The following is a 19,853-nucleotide window of genomic DNA, read 5'->3' on the forward strand; positions in this document are numbered from 1 at the left end:
GGGGAAGCTAAGAAGCAGCTCTCACTCTCTGGATAGTGACGATAATGATATAAATAGCATGGTAACTTCTAACATGTTCTTACCTACCTCCCAGGCACAATTTATAAACACTTGAGATATTACCTAACTTAATCCTCATAACAACTCTATAAGGTAGGTGCTATCGTTATCCCCATTTTCAGATGAAAAGACTGAGGGACCAGTGAGGAAACTGAGGGAGAGAGGGTAAGTAACTTGCCAGGGTCACACAGCTAAGAGGTGGTAGAGCTGGGATTCAAACATACATGGTCTGGCTCCAGAACCTATGCTTTTAACCACTACTATTCAGAGGCCGAAAGGTCATTCCCATGTCAGTAAAAAGGAAGCAGCGTGGATACCCTGGAGCCCAGATAAGCCCAGGCCCTGAAGACTGAGAAAGCCAGAGCCTGCCACCTGGATCTTGATGACTGCTGGGAGCCAGGTCCTCAGAAAGTGGGAATGCTCAGCAAACTTCTGCCGAACTAGGAAGCCACGGAGGCGGGCCTGGAGCTGGATAACAAAGCCGACGTTGGCTTTCCAGAGCTGTTGGCGGTCATAGGCAGCAGTGACCTTGGTGACAGCTGACTGTGGAGGCAGGAGAGAGACGCTGTGGTCTTTTGGGGAGTGGGAGCCTCTTCTTCAGGACATTCCTATCCAAGATCCCCTACCCTTGCAGGGGCTCTGCCAACCTGGATCTCCTCCCGGGTCAGGTGAGAGGTGTTGAGGGGGCAGCCAGGAGGTTGCTCCCAGATCCCCTGGAAGGTCTGCAGATGGAAGTAGTAGGCAGTGCCATCCTTCATGTCATGTTGAACCCAGAAAGCTGTGTCTGCTAAGCAGAAACCAAGCAAGCAGAAAAGGTTCAGAGCAGGCAAGGGGTGGCTGGGGCAGGCAGCGAAGAGGAGGGTCAGGTTGGGGCCATTACCTGGACGCTGTTTCTTTGCCATGGCACTTTCCAGGGCTCGCTGGTAGCCGTTGGCACAGTCGGGAACTACCCCTCGAAGGGCCACTGCGGGGTTCCTCAACACCCGCTCAGTCTGGGCTGCCTTGCCCTCCTTGATGGCTTGATTGATGGCAGCCACACCAAGAGCCACTGACAGGGGCATCAGGAGAGAGCAGTCAATCCTTCCCCCGAGTCCCTCCCATGGGCCTTGGCCAGTCCACTAGGGACAGATTCCATGAAAGAGGACACAAAATCACCCTTCTGAAGGAGTAGACGGGAACATCCCAGGATGGACAGAGACACATGCATGAAAAGCAGCAGCATGCAACTGTGCTTGGAGGGAAAGGCAGCAGCAGTCAATGAAGCACTCCTGAGGGAGGCAGCGTGGGGCTAGGCTGAGTTGGGGCTTGATAAAAGGAAAATCAGCTTGAACAGAAGCATAAAGGCCCAGAGCAGTGGCTCCTGCCTGTAATCCCAACACTTTGGGAGGCTGAGGCAGGCAGATCACTTGAGCCCAGGAGTTTGAGACTAGCCTGGCCAACATGGCGAAACCCCATCTCTATAAAAAAATACAAAAATTGGCCAGGCACTGTGGCTCACGCCTGTAATCCCAGCTCTTTGGGAGGCTTAGGCGGGCAGATCACCTGAGGTCAGGAGTTTGAGACCAGCCTGGCCAATATGGTGAATTATATGTATTATATGTGCCTACTAATAATACAAAAATTAGCCAGCTGTGGTGGTGGGCGCCTATAATCCCAACTACTCGGGAGGCTGAGGCCCAAGAATCGCTTGAACCTGGGAGGTAGAGGTTGCAGTGAGCCAAGATTATACCACTGCACTCCAGCCTTGGTGACAGAGCAACACTCTGTCTCAAAAAAAAAAAAAAAAAGAAAAAAAAAATTAGCCAGGTATGGTAGCGCATGCCTGTCCTCCCAGCTACTCAGGAATCCGAGGTGGGAGGATTGCTTCAGAGGTTGCAGTGAATGGAGATCACAGTACACTGCCCTCTAGCCTGGGTGACAGAGTAAGACCCTGTCTTAAAAAAGAAGCACTTTATGCAGGATATGGGCAGAGGACCCTGGGACAGTTTCTTAGAAGAGAGCCTAAGAGGTGGGAATGGCTGCTGTAGCATCTGCCTTCCACTCACTAGCAGACAGACAGATGGACAGGGAGACCCCAGCCACTGAGAACTAACACCACCAGCACCAAACATCAGCACACCCCTGTCTATTTGCACTGAGTCTGCCTGTTTTCCTCAAACTCCTGCCAATTCCTCTTCTCTCATTCCAAGTCTAAACATTTTCTAGCCAGAGCTGATTGACTGTTGGAACCCAAACTCAAGCTACCAGCAGAAATGGGATTTCTGACTACCGCATGATCTCACATGCCCACATTACAGGGAAAGTGTTCACAGGAAGGCATAGAGGGAGGCAGCAGGTGAACTATGGATTCTCACCTCCTGAGAATGTCCTGCCCTGCTGACTGCCAGGAAATCCATCCTGCAGTCTGAACAGCAGCCCTCCTGCTCTGACTCTGGCCTGCCTCCCCACAGAGGTTGAAGGGAGAGGGTGGTGACCAGGGAGGCTGCCTGATTATCTGGGCTGCTGCTGAGCCCACATCACCATCCCTCCCCTCCCAGGGTCCCCCAACCAGTCCATTTACTTCTCTGAGCTGTATTAGTGTCCTGGTTGGCTCTGACCACTCCCTGGCGGATCTCCTCAAGCCACAGCACAGCTCCAGGATCCCCTGTCACCTGGCAGATTGAGGGAGAAAAAAAAGATGTGACCCCAAGCTAGTCTCTCTAGGTTCCCAGGCCAAGATGCCCAAGGGAACCAAACTGCAGGCAGGCATTGGGAGCCACAGGGACAGTGATCTCCACTCAGCTCTCTGCCCTGTGTGTGGGCATGTGTGGCATGTGGTTCCCTGGGACGCGGCCAGGCTCAGAAGGCTCTCTTATCCTATTGGGCTTTCAGGTCTACTCGGCTTGGCCACAGCACCTCCAGAACCACAGAGGCTCTGCATAGCTCCTCAAACCCTCAGCATCCACCACCTTCTCAACAGCTCAATTCCCTGCTCTTATGCCTCAGCCATGTCCAGGGATAGCCTACGCTGGAGGCTCCAACTACCTGCCCCCACGCCCCACTCCCCTATGCCTCATTGCACACCTTCTCAGGCCAATCCTGACCCTGACCCTTACCTTCTCTTTCCTTTTCTTGCTCCACACTCCTCTACCCGACAAGGTAGTGGGAAGATTACATGAGCCCACAGGTCAAGTAAGCCTATGCCTGCCACACTGTCAGACTGATAAAGGCTTGAACCCTTCCTTGCCTCACACAACCCCAGATTCTACTCCTTCCCAACTCTCCTCAATAATAATAGACTTTGTAAACTAACATTTTATTGAGTACTGACTATGTGCCAGGCAGTATTCTAAAGCACTTTCTTATGCATTAATACTTGTAAAGCACATAAAATGATGCTTGGCACAGAGTAAGGACTCAATAAATGTTAGCCAGTACTACTGTCATATTATCTCACTTACACCCCATAACTATGAGATACACTCTTTACTGCCACAAGCTTCTAGGTGATGAAACAGAGGCACAGAGAGGTTAAGTAACACGTGCAGGGTCAGGCCGCCAGGATGTAGGCTCCAGTAGTCTGGCCCAGGAGTCTGAGCTCTCAACCACTCTCTACTGCAACATACTCAGGGTGTTTCAGGTTCAGAACCCTGCCCCATTTGTCAATTCATTTGATTTTCACCCTCATTCTGGGAGCTGGGTAGGACCAGCGTAGGCAGTACTTTACAGATGAGTAAATAGAGCTCAGAGATATCAAGGGATTTGCTCAAGGTCACATGGTCACTAAGGGTCAGAGTGGGAAATCCAGCCTGTTTCTCTGGCTCCCAGGCCTGTGCTTTTCCCATGGACTGCCCACTGCCCTGGCAACAGGGCCATCCTTCTTTACCAGATTGGAACACCCCCCTCACCCCCACCCAGAAGCCATTGTGTCCATCAGAATAGAGCTCTGCCAGACTGGGTACAGTGCAACCCACAGAGAATGTTCTTCCTGCTCTGATGACCAACCCAACCAGCCCTAACTTCACCTGGGCCTTCTGCCTTTTGGCTGCCACAAGGAGGAGATGGTACCGAGGGGCGACAGGGAGGCTGACATCATCTAGGCCAGCTGCAGGAAGCAGTAGGGCAGACAGAGTCTTCTCAGGGCTGCCTTTGTCCAGAGCCTCATTGATGAGGCTGACTGCAAGGACCCCTAAGAAAGAGAGATCTAGGTGGGCAGGGGGCCCCTAGACTTAATGGCTAAGGGACAGGACTGCCTAAGTTGGGCCATCTCCACCCAGCTCCAGACTATACTTACGGTCAGTCTCTTCCTGGGTCTGTGCATTGACCTGGCTCACGGTGGCCTGCAGGTCATTCCAGCTCAGGAAGTCCTCACCCATCCCACGCTCCTGTCGCAATTTCAGCAGGGCATCGAAGTAACTGGCAGTGGGGTGAAGGGCAGAGAGGTGAGTAGCATGTGAATCATCAGCCAGAAGTCAGGGGAAACAGTTGAACGATTTTCTTCACTTGACCTCCAGGACACCACACTCTTTTAGTTCTCTTCTTGCCTCACAGGCTATTCTTTCTGAGACACCTCTGCTGGTTCCTCCCTGACATCTAAACATGGGAGCATCCCAATCTTCAGTCTTCAGACCTCTTCTCTCTCCATACTTACATTGTAGATGATCTCACCCAATCTCATGACTTTAACACCATATGCTCCCGAAAGCACACCTCCAGCCCATTCATTTATCCCAGCCAGCTCCTTGTGATTTCCAAGTGAATGTCTAACAAGCACCTCAAACCCAACAGCTCACATCTGAACTGGTTCCCCTGCTTAACCTGCATGTCCCACCGTCTCTCCCATCTTGCCCCAAATCTTGGAGTCATACCTAATTCTGTTCTCTCTTCTACCCCATATCTATTATATGACCAAATCCTGTCAGTTTGCTTTCAAAATGTATCCAAAATCTGACTCCTTTTTCCCATCTCCGCTACCGCCCAAGGCCAAGCCCCCATCATCTCTTGCCTGGATTACTCCAATAGCTGTCTAACAGGTCTCCCTGCTTTCCCCTTGTACTCCTGCAGTCAGTTCTCAGCACAGCAGCCAGAAAGATCCCATTAAGTAGATCAGATCGCTGGGCACGGTGGCTCATGCCTGTAATTCCAACACTTTGGGAGGCCAAGATGGGAGGACAGTTTGAGCCCAGGAGTTCAAGACCAGCCTGGGCAACGTACAGAGATCCTATCTCTACAAAAAATTAAAAAATTAGCCAGGCATGGTGGCATGTGCCTGTAGTCCTAGCTACTTGGGAGGCTGAGTTGGGAGGATCACTTGAGCCCAGGAGTTCAGGGATGCAGTGAGCCATGATTGCACCACTGCACTCCAGCCTGGGTGACAGAGCAAGGCCCTGAGCTGTGATTGCATCACTGCACTCCAGCCTGGGTGACAGAACCAGACCCTGAGCTGTGATTGCACCACTGCACTCCAGCCTGGGTGGCAGAGCAAGACCCTGTCTCTAAAAATAAAAAAAAAAGAAGTAGGTCAGATCAACTCCCTCCCGGCTCAAAACCCTCCCGTGGCTTCCTTCCTCACTCAGAGTAAAAACCAGAGTCCTACGTGGTCTGGCCTCGGCTACTTGGTCTTCATCTCCCACTCCTCTTTCTTCCTTACTTCACTCCACCACACTGGCTTCCTGATGTTCTTTGAACACACCATGCACATTGCTTTCTTAAGGCCTCTGCCCCAGATAGCCTCATGGCAATCATTTATGCCCTTTAGGTCTCTTTCAAAATGACCTCCTCAGCAAAGAGATCTACATTATGTAAAACAGAAAAACTGTCCCTACTATGTCTCTACCCATTACCCACTTTGCCCTATTTTATTTTTCTCTATGTCTTTTCTTCTTTTCTTTTCTTTCTTTCTTTTTTTTTTTTTTTTTTGAGATGGAGTTTCGCTCTTGTTGCCCAGGCTGGAGTGCAATGGTGCGATCTCGGCTCAACACAACCTCCACCTCCCAGGTTCAAGTCATTCTCCTGCCTTAGCTCCCAGAGTAGCTAGGATTAGAGGCATGTGCCACCACGCCCGGCTAATTTTGTATTTTTAGTAGAGATGGGGTTTCTCTACATTGGTTAGGCTGGTCCCAAACTCCCGACGTCAAGTGATCCTCCCGCCTTGGCCTCCCAAAGTGCTGGGATTACAGGCGTGAGCCACTGCACCCAGCCACCTCATCTTCTTTTCTCATCATCTGTCTCCCTTTACTAGCATGTAAGTTTGACAAGAGCAGAAAGTGTTTTGTTCACTGCTGTTTCCCAGCACCTAGAGTAATATCTGGCACATGGGTCAGTACTCAAACATCTGCTAGGAAAGAATGAATCAATGAAGAAAAAAGGAATGACTGTGATCCCATCCACTCCCAGGAAGAAACACAGGCCAAGGAACTGTGAACAGACCCAGAGGGTGGGCCTGGGCCCAAGAATGGGACATCGTACACAAGGCAAGTCTCCAACAGAAGAGTGCTGAGTCTTGGCTGCATTCCCCCATCCCTCACTCCCAATGTGTGGCTAAGCCTTTCTCACCGCTGGGCATTTTCTCCTTCCACCTCAGCCAGGCCTGTGGCAGGGTTCACCAGGCTGCTCCAGAAGCCACTGGCATCCCGGGCCTCCAGGGCCCGGTTAATCAGGACCACAGCTGAGAGCATCTCCACAGCCACGAAGAGCTCCTCCTGGCCAAGCTCCTACAATGGGTGGGAGGGCCAATTCCCAAGTGGGCAGGTGAAGGGTCTAAAGGCCTATTCACCATCCTGCCCCCAAGGTTCTTGAATATCCCAGAGTCTCTATCCCAAAACCCCAGTGGCCTGATTCACTCACTAATAATCATCATACAAAACACCTGATAATACTTACTATGTGCTCAATTATAAGTACTTCACACACATTATCATTTAATTTTCATAATAAGCCGACAATAGAACCATAGTACCATTAACATCCCCATTTCATGGATGAGCCCACGACCAATAATGTAAGTCAAAACTAGCTGTCTGATTTCAAAGCCCACACTTAACAAGTAAGCTCTACCAGCTCCCATTGGTCCCTACTGCATATCAAGAACTGTATTAGCCGGGTGCAGTGGCTCACACCTGTAATCCTAGCACTTTGGAGGCCAAGGTGGACAGATCGCTTGAGCTCAGGAGTTTGAGACCAGCTTGGCCAACATGGCAAAATCCTGTCTCTACTAAAAATACAAAAATTAGCTGAGCATGGTGGTGCGTACCTGTCATCCCAGCTACTCAGGAGACTGAGGCAGGAGGATCGCTTAAACCCAGGTGGAGGTTGCAATGAGCCGAGATCATGCCACTGCACTCTAGCCTGGGTGACAGAGCCAGACCGTCTTAAAATAAAAAAAAAAATTGAACTGCACTAGGCCCTGGGTATACAGAGATGAAGATGGAGTGGTCGCCTCCACACTGCACTGCACCGCACACCCAAGAAGCTCCGGCCCCATTTCCCTGCCCTGTCCTTCTTCTGCTTTTCAAACATCTGCTTATGCCGTGCCCTTTGTCTAGAGCACCCTTCCTATTTTCTTCTCTGTTTTTTTGAGATAGAGTCTCACTCTGTGGCCCAGGCTGGAGTGCAGTGGCACAATCTTGGCTCTCCCGGGTTCAAGTGATCTCTGAGCCTCAGCCTCTGGAGTAGCTGGGATTTCAGGCATGTGCCACCACCACACCTGGCTAATTTTTGTATTTTCAGTAGAGATGGGGTTTCGCCATGTTGGCCAGGCTGGTCTCAAACTCCTGGCCTCAAGTGATCTGCCTGCCTGGACCTCCCAAAGTGCTGGGATTATAGGCATGAACCCCCACACCCAGCCCCCTTCCTATTTTCTCCTAACAGAATGTTGTGAATATCAACAACAATAATATTAATAGCTAAAGTTTACTTTCTTCTCTAAGGTTCTTACTTTCTTCTCTTAGGTTCTTCTCTAAGCAAATATGTTCCCTTATTTAATCCTATAGCCTGAGGTAAATATATTATTGTTCCCATTTTATATTCAAAGAAATTGAGCAGCAGAGAAAGTAATTAACTTGCCCAATGTCACATAGCTAAGAAGTAGCAGAGCCAGATTTGAACTCACGCAGCCTGGCTCAAAAGTCCACAACTTTAGTCACAATGCTTTACTTCTTAGTACTTATTTTATGCTTCCTTGTACATAGTCATTCCTATGTTGAGACTGTGCCTTTCCTGAGGGCTGTGCCTGTATCCAAGTCATGCTGGGAGTAGATGCTCTATAAACACCTGCTGTGGGTGTAGTTCTCTATTGATTCTCTTCCAGGAAGACTTCCCGGCTCTGCTTCCTCCATTTCCTTGGTCTGAAGACTTCTTCCACTTATGTCATCTGCTCTTCTCTCCCTGTGTGTCTCTATTTGGACCTTCAGGTGTATTCTAACTCCTCCAACAGACAGAAAGTCCCTAAGTGAGGGCCCTGTCGTTTCACTGTCAGAGAAGAACTATGGATTGGGATGAGGTGGGACAGTGAAGTGCTTCAAAGCATGGGCTTCTGCATCCACTCCCAGCACTGGCACTCACAGCTGTGTTGGGCAAGTGACTTAACTCTGCATCTCAGTTTCCCCATCTCTAAAATAGAATGCCTCCCTCATAGGGTCCTTTTAAGGATTAAATGAGTATGTAAAGCAGTGTTTGCTCAAGGTATTGGCTATTAAAATACGCTCAGTAAGGCAGGGATGGTAGCTCTTTCCCCATCCTAATCTCGTGCCAGCATCTCATATCGCACTCACAAGAGGGTGGCCTGGGCTGCCTGTCCTGATCCCTCCAGCTGCATGGAGACTGCAGAGCTAGACCCACATTTCTGGGGCTTACCCCCTGCTGCTGCTGGAGCACTGCCAGCTCCAGCTGGTACATAGACGATGCAACAGGGTACACTGGAGGCAGCTGGGCCTCAGGGCACATCAGCTCCTTCACAGTGTCAGCCGCCACTCTCCTCCGGATGGCTTTGTTGATCCGCTGCACAGCGTGGAGCACTGCAAGGCAGGAGAGCAACAGGTTGTACTGGCCGGGCATTCAGTGGCATCTCCACTCTCCTCACCAACTAGGCTCCGCCGGGGGATCTTGGTGGGGAAATGGCTTTCCAACTGCTCTCAAAAATCTGCTAGGTTTAAAATGCATTTCTAAGTGTTCAGGAAGAAAAGGGGCTGGGTTGCTTTAACAAGAGGCTCTGTAAGAAGCAATTTGTCAGGCCTAGAAATTGAGTAGCTCAGCCTCTGCCCCGCCGCCCTGTCTGGGATGTGAGGAGCACCTCTGCTGGGCCGCAACCCTGTCTGGGATGTGAGGAGTGCCTCTGCCCGGCCGCCCCGTCTGAGAAGTGAGGAAACCCTCTGCCTGGCAACCGCCCCGTCTGAGAAGTGAGGAGCCCCTCCGTCCGGCAGCCACCCCGTCTGGGAAGTGAGGAGCGTCTCCGCCCGGCAGCCACCCCGTCCGGGAGGGAGGTGGCGGGGGGGTCAGCCCCACGCCCGGCCAGCCGCCCCGTCCGGGAGGTGAGGGGCTCCTCTGCCCGGCCGCCCCTACTGGGAAGTGAGGAGCCCCTCTGCCCGGCCAGCCGCCCCGTCCGGGAGGGAGGTGGGGGGTCAGCCCCCCGCCCGGCCAGCCGCCCAGTCCGGGAGGGAGGTGGGGGGTCAGCCCCCCACCCGGCCAGCCGCCCCGTCCGGGAGGGAGGTGGGGGGGTCAGCCCCCCGCCCGGCCAGCCGCCCCGTCCGGGAGGGAGGTGGGGGGGGTCAGCCCCCCGCCTGGCCAGCCACCCCGTCCGGGAGGTGAGGGGCGCCTCTGCCCGGCTGCCCCTACTGGGAAGTGAGGACCCCTCTGCCCGGCCAGCCGCCCCGTCCGGGAGGGAGGTGGGGGGGTCAGCCCCCCGCCCGGCCAGCCGCCCCATCCGGGAGGGAGGTGGGGGGGTCAGCCCCCCGCCCGGCCAGCCGCCCCGTCCGGGAGGGAGGTGGGGGGGGTCAGCCCCCCGCCCGGCCAGCCGCCCTGTCCGGGAGGGAGGCGCGGGGGGGGGTCGGCCAGCCGCCCCGTCCGGGAGGGAGGTGGGGGGGTCAGCCCCCCGCCCGGCCAGCCGCCCAGTCCGGGAGGGAGGTGGGGGGATCAGCCCCCCGCCTGGCCAGCCACCCCGTCCGGGAGGTGAGGGGCGCCTCTGCCCGGCCGCCCCTACTGGGAAGTGAGGAGCCCCTCTGCCCGGCCAGCCGCCCCGTCCGGGAGGGAGGTGGGGGGGTCAGCCCCCCGCCCAGCCAGCCGCCCCATCCGGGAGGGAGGTGGGGGGGTCAGCCCCCCGCCCGGCCAGCCGCCCCGTCCGGGAGGGAGGTGGGGGGGGTCAGCCCCCCGCCCGGCCAGCCGCCCCGTCCGGGAGGGAGGTGGGGGGATCAGCCCCCCGCCTGGCCAGCCACCCCGTCCGGGAGGTGAGGGGCGCCTCTGCCCGGCCGCCCCTACTGGGAAGTGAGGAGCCCCTCTGCCCGGCCAGCCGCCCCGTCCGGGAGGGAGGCGCGGGGGGGGGGCCGGCCAGCCGCCCTGTCCGGGAGGGAGGTGGGGGGGTCAGCCCCCCGCCCGGCCGGCCGCCCCGTCCGGGAGGTGAGGGGCGCCTCTGCCCGGCCGCCCCTACTGGGAAGTGAGGAGCCCCTCTGCCTGGCGAGCCGCCCCGTCCGGGAGGGTGGTGGGGGGGTCAGCCCCCCGCCCGGCCAGCCGCCCTATCCAGGAGGTGAGGGGCGCCTCTGCCCGGCCGCCCCTACTGGGAAGTGAGGAGCCCCTCTGCCTGGCCAGCCGCCCCGTCCGGGAGGGTGGTGGGGGGGTCAGCCCCCCGCCCGGCCAGCCGCCCCACCCGGGAGGTGAGGGGCGCTTCTGCCCGGCCGCCCCTACTGGGAAGTGAGGAGCCCCTCTGCCCGGCCACGACCCCGTCTGGGAGGTGTGCCCAGCGGCTCATTGGGGATGGGCCATGATGACAATGGCGGTTTTGTGGAATAGAAAGGCGGGAAGGGTGGGGAAAAAATTGAGAAATCAGATGGTTGCCGGGTCTGTGTGGATAGAAGTAGACATGGGAGACTTTTCATTTTGTTCTGTACTAAGAAAAATTCTTCTGCCTTGGGATCCTGTTGATCTGTGACCTTATCCCCAACCCTGTGCTCTCTGAAACATGTGCTGTGTCCACTCAGGGTTAAATGGATTAAGGGCGGTGCAAGATGTGCTTTGTTAAACAGATGCTTGAAGGCAGCATGCTCGTTAAGAGTCATCACCACTCCCTAATCTTAAGTACCCAGGGACACAAACACTGCGGAAGGCCGCAGGGTCCTCTGCCTAGGAAAACCAGAGACCTTTGTTCACTTGTTTATCTGCTGACCTTCCCTCCACTATTGTCCTATGACCCTGCCAAATCCCCCTCTGCGAGAAACACCCAAGAATGATCAATAAAAAAAAAAAAAAAAAAAAAAAAAGAAATTGAGTAGCTCAGCATGTAACACAGAGTGGCTGTCATAGCAGAGGGTGAGTTCCTAAGGTGGTGAGCACAAGATTGACAGGTGGCTATGGAACGTAACTAAGATGAGGTTAGTCAGGGGGCTCTAGGGACCAAGGCTTGATGACAGCACAGAGGAATAAGGAACCAGCTCCAAGGTGGAGCCGTTTGCTGCAAAGGGCAGTAGTAAGCTTAAAAGGGGCTGTGGTGCCTCAATGTAGTCTGAGTTTACAAACTCTGTGGCTTACAAAATGCTTAGCAGATACGGGCACTGACATCAAGGAGAGCACAATCTACTGGGAAGAACTAAGGATACCAAAGTACCTACAGTGCACTGCTGTCAATGTCATGTTAGAAGTCCACCTCCCGCCACCCCCACACAATGCTATGGCAGAGCAGGGGAGGAGGGATTCTGCCTGGGAGAGAGCAGAAGACTTCACAGAGGAGGAAGCCTTGGAGACAGCTCTGGAGAATGTTTTCACCCGCTCATCAACAGGTGAGAATGTGGGAGAAATGTAACCCACAGGACCAGAAGCCCGGTGATGGGAAAGGCTGGAGGGCAATCTAGGGAGAATAGATTGTTTGCTCGGCTGAATTGGATGGAATGTGAACAGAAGAGCTGGGGATGAACTCTGGAAAGGTCTTATCTGCCAGGACAAGGAGATAGGACTAAAGTGTGGGCTAAATAATGGAAGAACCCATGAAGGTCTGAAGATGTTCAACAAGGGAGATAAGATCAGATCTGTGCTTCAGAGATTACTCTGGCAGCAGCAATCGGGAATGAACTGAGTGGATTAGGAAAGCAGCCAGTCAGGAGTGGCCCGGGGGCTACTGAAAGCTAGTGAATGTCGGAAAGCTCTGTTAGACAAAGGTAAATGGTTACTGAGCAACCTCTAAACCTGACAGCAAGTCCAGACTAAGGCAAGCAACTGTAACAGGCCTAGTGTCCACAGGCTACTGCATTTTGCCTCAGCACTGTTTCTCTTCATACTTGCAGTGCAGATAGATCTCTTGGAGGAAGACAATTACTAACTCACATTCTTGTAATAAATAATTATATTTGTGGCCGGTCACAGTGACTCATACCTGTAATCCCCAGCACTTTGGGAGGCCAAGGTAGGCAGATCACTTGAGGCCAGGAGTTTGAGACCCACCTGGCCAACACGAAGAACCCTACCTCTACTAAAAATACCAAAATTAGTCTGCCATGGTGGCAGGTGCCTGTCAACCCAGCTACTCGGGAGGCTGAGGCAAGAGAATCATTTGAACCCAGGAGGTGGAGGTTGCAGTGAGCCGAGATTGTGCCACTGCACTCCAGCCTGGGCAACAGAGTGAGCCTCTGTCTCAAACAAAAACAAAAACAAACAAAAAAGAATTACATTTGTATATAATGTTTTTAAGGGAAACTGAGAAGATGAGTTTTTTGCTCATATTCTGGAAAATTACTACATTTCCGAAGCCAAAGGAATTCAAGCAGGTTGAAACTGTCAAAATTACAGGCAAACTGCCTGGAAGAAAACTGCCTGCCCCAGGAGAACAGCCCAGTGCAGTATTGGCATGTCATTATCTCTAAGGCCTTAATGAACTTATCTGTAGTGTCCCCCCAGGCAGCAGGAATAAAGCAGATTATGTGAGGGGAGAAGTTCCTAGCCAGGCTGGAAACAGCAGCAGTGTGTACTGCCCAATACAGAAGCCAGCAAAGAGGTGGGATACTCTTCTAAGAGTCAGAGATACGCACAGAGCAGGCCTCAGACCTGCAGATGACTTACTGGCTTGTTCCTGATCACCCTTTGTGTTGGCTGCAGCCACACCAGCCTGGACTTCCTCCTTTTCCAGAAGCTCCACCAGGCCCAGCTCCTAAGAGAGGGAAGAGATACAGTAGAATGGAGTCCTTCCGGGGCCATGACCATGCTTTACGAGTTGCCAGCATGAGCTCCCAGGTCTACCCAGCCACCTACCCTCAATCCTACCTCTCTCCGTTAGGCTGGCTCACTCATCCCTATTAACCGTTTTTTTTTTTTTAAGATGGAGTCTTGCTCTGTCTCCCAGGCTGGAGTGCAGTGGCACAATCTCGGCTCACGGCAACCTCTGCCTCCCGGGTTCAAGCGATTCTCTGCCGAAGCCTTCCAAGTAGCTGGGATTACAAGCGTGTGCCACCACACCAGCTAATTTTTGTATTTTTAGTAGAGACAGGGTTTCACTATATTGGCCAGGCTGGTCTCAAACTCCTGACCTCAAGTGATCCACCCACATCAGCCTCCCAAAGTGCTGGGATTACAGGCGTGAGCCACAGTGCCCAGCCCTATTAACTCATCTTTAATCTTTCTTGCTCAGCAAGCATCTAAAATAACAACATAGACAACACGAATGTGTCAGGGGAAAAGTCAACTACTTTAAAAACAAGATTGCTAAGTGGAGGCACCAGTTCAACAATGGGGGAGCACATTACTGCCTATGGGACTGTCCTTGGGTTCCTCTTGGTCAGCCTGGGGGACTCTCAGGGACAGAAGCTGATCAATCTGGTCTACTAGGCCTTGGGGTGATTTAACCATTTAAACACGTAGTCAGCACTTACAGAATACAAAGGACCAACAGTGGTGATCTTTGAGTAAGAGGCCCTCTCCTATCCTATAGTCACATACAGGGGGTGGCAGGTAATAGACAGAGGCTAACCTGTGCCTTCTGCTCTCTGTCTGAGTTCAGCTGCTCCAGGTACCAGTCAGCAAAGTCTCTCCTCACCCCTCGCAGGGCCAGGGCAGGGTCTTGAAGGGCCTTGAGCAAGGCTTCAGGGCTCTGTCTTTCCAGGGCATCATCAACAACTTCTAGAGCCCCATGGACTGAAAAAAAATGACTCCATAATGGACAGTGTGAGAAAGCCACCTCTCATAATCCCCTAGTCCAGCCCTAGGAATCTACCCTCTTCTTGCCTGCCCGGAATTACCCCCACCCTTTCCCCCTTGGTTCCTGGGCCCATTTGGTTCAGCCCAAATTCTTCAGCTTGGTCTTCACAGCCTTCTCACTTCGCCGCCCCAGACCCCAAGGATATCCTCACCCAAATAGGCAAATGCCCACCCATCCTGAGCCTTCACACGGCTCCTACCCAGATCCCCCCATCCTCATGTATTCTCCACATTGCCCCTCTCGAAGGACCCCAGTCCAACTGCCCCCCCGGCATCAAGAGCTGCTCCTCTCTATGGTTCTCCAGTCAGACAGAAGCTTCCCGGACATGGACTACTTCTCTAGACACCGATGGCCAGAAAGCAGTGCACATACTCCTTGGACTCTGATCTTTCTCCGAGGCAAGAGTTGGCCCAAATGAGACCATAGGGCTTTCTGGCTTGAGAAAAGCTATCCCCAAACCTCCCAGTGCAGGGGCTTACCCTGAGGTCACCCCCAAACCACTCCTGCTCGAGGTCTCTTACCGTTGACATGGTTGATATTGCCCTGGATTTCAGCCTGAGTTAGGTAGTGGTCATAGATGTCCTGGCTTTCTCTGTCATCCTGCAAAAACTCCATTGAAAGGGAACCTGGGAAACCCAATTTAATCTCCTTGTCCTGCTCTTCCCTGCCTGGCTACACTTATTTCTTCTTCTGGGGACCTTCCCAAGGCCAAAGTTCAGTCTGCTCAGAATTCAGGAATTGTGGGGTCTAAAACACTTGGCACTGACATAATTAAGCCAAACCAACCTTTGGAACCTCCAGTCCAATCTCATTCTGTTCTACATTCCAGCACCCCTCTCAGGCTTCCCTGAAGATCATCCCCCAAGAACCTCTTCTCCAGTCTTCTCTTCGGAATTCTCATCATTCTTCCAAGTTCCTTTCCTATTTCTCTAAAATCACTGATAAATTATGGTTTCTCTAAGAAGCAATTTTGGATACTAGAGACATGACAGATAGGAGTCCCGGTTTCACTTGAGACTTTCCAGCCACTCAACTTTTCGGTCCCTGCAACCCAAGACTACTCCTTACATGGTTCCTGGCATTGGCTGCCTTCTCCATCTTGGCCTGGGCCAGCATCTCTTGGTAGACGGCTGCCAGAGGCTCTCGGAGATTCTCCAGAAGAGCACTGGGATTCTGCAAGGCAGCCAGGGTGTCCTCCACCACCCCTCGCTCCACTGCTTCATTGATGGCAAGAACAGCTGCATGGACTGGGAGAGGGCATGGAAACAAGGTCAGGAGGCCAGAGTGAATCCCAGATTGGAGCGCAACCAGTAGCAGCCCACTCTAATGTCATCCTTTTTCCCACCCTCAAGGGCCAGACAAACCAGGTAGCCTGATGGCCCTATCTGTGGATGAGAGCTGGCCAGAACCCATCCAATGGCTGTGAGGCTTGGAGCCCTCCCATACGCATTGAGCCTACTCCTGGCAGGGCAGAGCCTAGTCCTTACCTGCAGCCTCATCCACCGAGAGCTCATTGGCCAAGATGCCCCCGATCTTGCTGAAGGCAGGCAGCTGGAGGCCATATTTGGCCAGTTCGGACGCCATGTTGCTGAGTTCCTCAGCTGCAATGATGCCACAGGTGCCCTTCATCAGGCCCAGAACCCCCAAGACCCTGCCCAGGCTGTGGTGGTCAGGGAAGGAGCTGGGCTTACCTGTGAATTTCACTTTCCCGTATAGATCATGTATCTGAGGGGCCAATCCCAGCCGGAAGAGGAAGAGACTAGGAAAAAACGGAAGGCATTGGAAGGCACTGGGGCCTATTCATTTTGACACTCTGCCCACGATGGGTTTGAAGGGGATACTATGGGGACCTAGAGATGAAGACCACTCAGCACCTGCCCTCAAGTCATCCCCAACCCACATAAAGAAATATGACCATAAATCAGCCCAAGGAAAGTGCTGCAGAAGGTAAATAAGATGGTGTTGGGGGTCTGAGGGGATTAGGAAGGCTTCACAGAGAAGGCCACATTGCAGTAGCAGGTCACTCAATGGAGAGAGAGGACAGGAAGGGCGCAGCAAGCAGATACCTGCTGAGCTAAGGCACAGGGGCACAAAGGGACATGGGAAGTGGTCAGAAAGAGATGGCATGGTAAACACAAGGAACCGGTCGGTCACTTGCTGTGATTTAGCCAACTGGTTGCTGATGGCTGGCTGTAAGTAGGACCAAAGAGCCTACACCATCCATACTAAGTGTCTTGCCTGTGTTGCTCTCAATAGGTCCTGTTCTGATTCCTTTATACCCAGTTACAAACTGAAGGCCCTACCCTGCTACTTTCCTATCTCTGGTACCCTGCCTGCCCTTCCCCTTCACCCACACAGGCCATACATAAATGTGCCCACAGACATGCACAAAAATCTAAACACAACTCTGTAAATCTGAAACCTCACTCTCCTGAGCAGTGCTCCCTGTGGTCTACCCTTCATCCTTCTTTCTTGCTGAGTTTGTTGTTGTTGATTGTTGGTCGCATCCACCTAGAGGAACCTGGATGATAAAATTTGAGGTCTCTCACCTGAGAGCATGGATGCAGTAGACTACCCGGGGCATGTTCTTTTTGTCATAGATGTCCGTGGTCTCTGGGAAGAAGGTCTAGAGGAGAAACCAGCCAGTTACTGCCATTGGGAACCTTTAAGCACCACCAAATGCGGAGAGGGGGTGCCGAGGAATGGGTCTTCCTCTCCAACCTGAGGTGTGTGTTCCCTTGTTACCTGGGGTGTCTAGGTCAGTCTCCCCCAACCATTTCTAGTCAGCCTAGTATAAAAGAAATTCACTGAGGATGCATACTAAGCCAAGGCTCAGCCACAGACACATAGTCCTAGGGTGCCCTGGATTAACCAAACACCAGATAAGGCCATCAAGGCTACAGGATATAAGCCATATCCTCCAAAAACAATAACAGCAACAACAACAAAAAACCAGGCCCCCAGTTGTCTTCCAGATGTCTATAGTGAGCCTGCATGCCTCACCTTAGACCCTTGCCAGAGATGTGGTATGCTGGAGAGCTGGCCTACTCCCATGCAGGGCCCAATGAAGCATATATTGCCAAGGACCACAAAAGTGTCAGGCTGTTATCCCTGTCTCCAAGCCAGCGGCTTCTGATCAATGAGAGCCCTTCTAAGAACCGAGTGGCACCAGGTATGGCTTCTCAATGCCACCTGACAACTGTAATGAGGCCTAACCTCAATATATCTTGGTTATATTTAGATTCACAATAAAAGACCAAATTTAGAGACCTAGAGTGTTCCAGTCCCACTGAAGACACATGACCTCTATTGCTTCTGCCTCCCATCGAAGTGTCTTTACTGCTGTTTCCTGTCTTATAGTGCCTTTCTACAGGGAAGAAAAACAAAGCAGAAAGAAACCATACATTGTAGAATCCTATCATGCCTTCATTTGTATAGCTCTTCACAGTTCACAAAGGGAGTTCACACAGACCATGTGATCTTCCTGACAACACTGTAAGGTAGACAGGGCAGGGCTCACTATCCCCATTTTACAGATGAGTAACAAATTGAGGTTCAAAGAGTGAAATCATGTGTCCAGTTGGGGTTTTGGACCTAGGCTTCTAACTCAAAGTCTGCCACCTAGGGATGTGTATACCCTTGCTTCACACTGTGAAATTTGGTGGAGACAAGGCTGGCCAATACGAGCATGACATAGCAGCCTCCCACCCCCTGCATAATGGGAACCGTGCCACTCAGGCCAGGGAAACTTCACCTCCTTTCATCCACAGGGAAGAGGAGGCAGAGAAAAAAATAACCTGGTTCAAAGACACACAGCTGCAAGGAACTGTTCTCTTAGATTAAGTTAGTTTAGAAGACACATGGAAATAGGGCTAAAGGGTCCAGGGAGATAAAGCATGGGATTGTGGGAGGTGGCTGGTAAGGAGTAAAGATGAATACCAATCTTCAGGCCCAGTATTACCGAAGGCAGACCGATGTGGGCTATTGCAGATAGCCAAAAGTTGATGTTGTCTGTGTGACGGAAATGTAAGCCAGTTGCCTGAAAGGGAAGGAAAAAGAAAATCTATTTCCACAGTTCTCAGCACTCCCTATGGGTAAAGCCCAGACTACAGCTTAAAGATTCAGGAGAGATGGGCAGAGGGGAACCAGAGGACCACATCCTGTGGATTTTCCATCCCTACCAGGACAGAGAAACATAGATTAATAACACTCCCTTTTATCCAGATTTGGACAATAAGTTATATGGTCACTCTACCCTCACAGCTTTGAGGAGAAAGCATAGTTTGAGGGGACGAAGGTAGAAGGTGGGGTCCAATCCTCCCACCTGGTACCGCAGCTGCTCCACATCGTAGATCTTCTTCAAGGGAACCACGGAGGGTGCAAAACAGTGGCCTAGCTTGGCCAGCAGCACTCCATTCCGAAGGCTCTCCTCCAGCTCCACCGGGGAAGGAAGCTCCTCCTTCAGGCAGGCCTCCATCCAGCTATGAACATGAGAACACCTTCTCACGCACTCTGGCAGACCACAGTGATTTATTCTAACAACAGGAACTTCCCTCTGTCCCTCCTTTTAAGTGGCCCCTGACCCTCCTCTGCTTCCTGTTCCTGCTCTACCTCCAACTCCCTTCTCTGCCCATTGCCTGGCTGTTCCCACCTTCTCCTAGGTTGCCCCAAATATCTGGACTGGCCAACCCTCAGCCCCACCCACCCCAGCAAATCTTCCTTGACAGATCCTGAACCTGCCCATCTTCAGTGAGGCTTAACTGTTACATAGCTTCTCACTCAGTCTAGTTACATGCTTTTTTTTTTTTTTTTTTTTTTGAAATGGCGTCTCGCTCTTGTTGCCCAGGCTAGAGTGCAATGGTGCGATCTTGGCTCACTGCAACCTCCGCCTCCCAGGTTCAAGTGATTCTCCTGCCTTCAGCCTCCCGAGTAGTTGGGATTACAGGCACACCCCACCACGCCCAGCTAATTTTGTATTTTTAGTAGAGATAGGGTTTCTCCATGTTGGTCAGGCTGGTCTCAAACTCCCGACCTCAGGTGATCCGCCCGCCTTGGCCTCCCAAAGTGCTGGGATTACAGGCATGAGCCACCGCGCCCGGCCCTAGTTACATCTTTGACTGCTAAACAAAATAGAACGTGCTCACTTCTTTCATTCTGGGTTGTTCTCTGAGAACCTGGGTGCAGAAAGGTCATGTCTGCCTGAATGATCTACATGGCTCATAACCCAGCTTTGATGATGATGAGAGTAGTGGGGCTGGTGGAAGGGGAGCAGCACAAAGGGACAGAACGACCACAGCTCTTGGAGTCCGAAGGCCCCCTTTCCAACCATCTTCCCTACTTCACCTCTGTGAGCCTCAGTTGCACAATTTGCAAAATGAGGATAATGCCACCTGTATTTCCTTCAGTGGGCAGCTGCCAGGATCAAATG

The 19,853-nt window shown here is 52.5% G+C and overlaps 1 protein-coding gene across 7 annotated transcripts in view; it reads right to left on the reverse strand.

Annotated features, from left to right (window-relative positions):
• Positions 1-19,853, reverse strand: part of IQGAP3 (IQ motif containing GTPase activating protein 3) — a 47,161-nt gene that overhangs the window by 22,236 nt on the left and 5,072 nt on the right. For 2 of the 7 annotated variants that reach the window (XM_047445996.1, XM_047445990.1), the window contains exons 3-19: positions 18,750-18,906; positions 18,387-18,464; positions 16,975-17,051; positions 16,117-16,184; positions 15,913-16,026; positions 15,494-15,672; positions 14,947-15,025; positions 14,198-14,361; positions 13,294-13,381; positions 8,893-9,053; positions 6,595-6,752; positions 4,334-4,455; positions 4,065-4,228; positions 2,621-2,711; positions 941-1,108; positions 708-844; positions 433-603 (exon numbers count right to left, since the gene is read on the reverse strand). In XM_047445996.1, the coding sequence (XP_047301952.1) occupies positions 433-603; positions 708-844; positions 941-1,108; positions 2,621-2,711; positions 4,065-4,228; positions 4,334-4,455; positions 6,595-6,752; positions 8,893-9,053; positions 13,294-13,381; positions 14,198-14,361; positions 14,947-15,025; positions 15,494-15,672; positions 15,913-16,026; positions 16,117-16,184; positions 16,975-17,051; positions 18,387-18,464; positions 18,750-18,906 (2,176 nt within the window). Of the gene's footprint in view, positions 1-432; positions 604-707; positions 848-940; positions 1,109-2,620; positions 2,712-4,064; positions 4,229-4,333; positions 4,456-6,594; positions 6,753-8,310; positions 8,840-8,892; positions 9,054-13,293; positions 13,382-14,197; positions 14,362-14,946; positions 15,026-15,493; positions 15,673-15,912; positions 16,027-16,116; positions 16,185-16,974; positions 17,052-17,695; positions 17,793-18,386; positions 18,468-18,749; positions 18,907-19,853 lie in introns of those variants that run through there. The other 5 variants (NM_178229.5, XM_011509198.4, XM_047446003.1 and 2 more) reach the window with 4 other exon arrangements.

The sequence above is a fragment of the Homo sapiens genome, chromosome 1 (assembly GCF_000001405.40).
Source record: "Homo sapiens chromosome 1, GRCh38.p14 Primary Assembly".
In the NCBI taxonomy this organism is placed as follows: domain Eukaryota; kingdom Metazoa; phylum Chordata; class Mammalia; order Primates; family Hominidae; genus Homo; species Homo sapiens.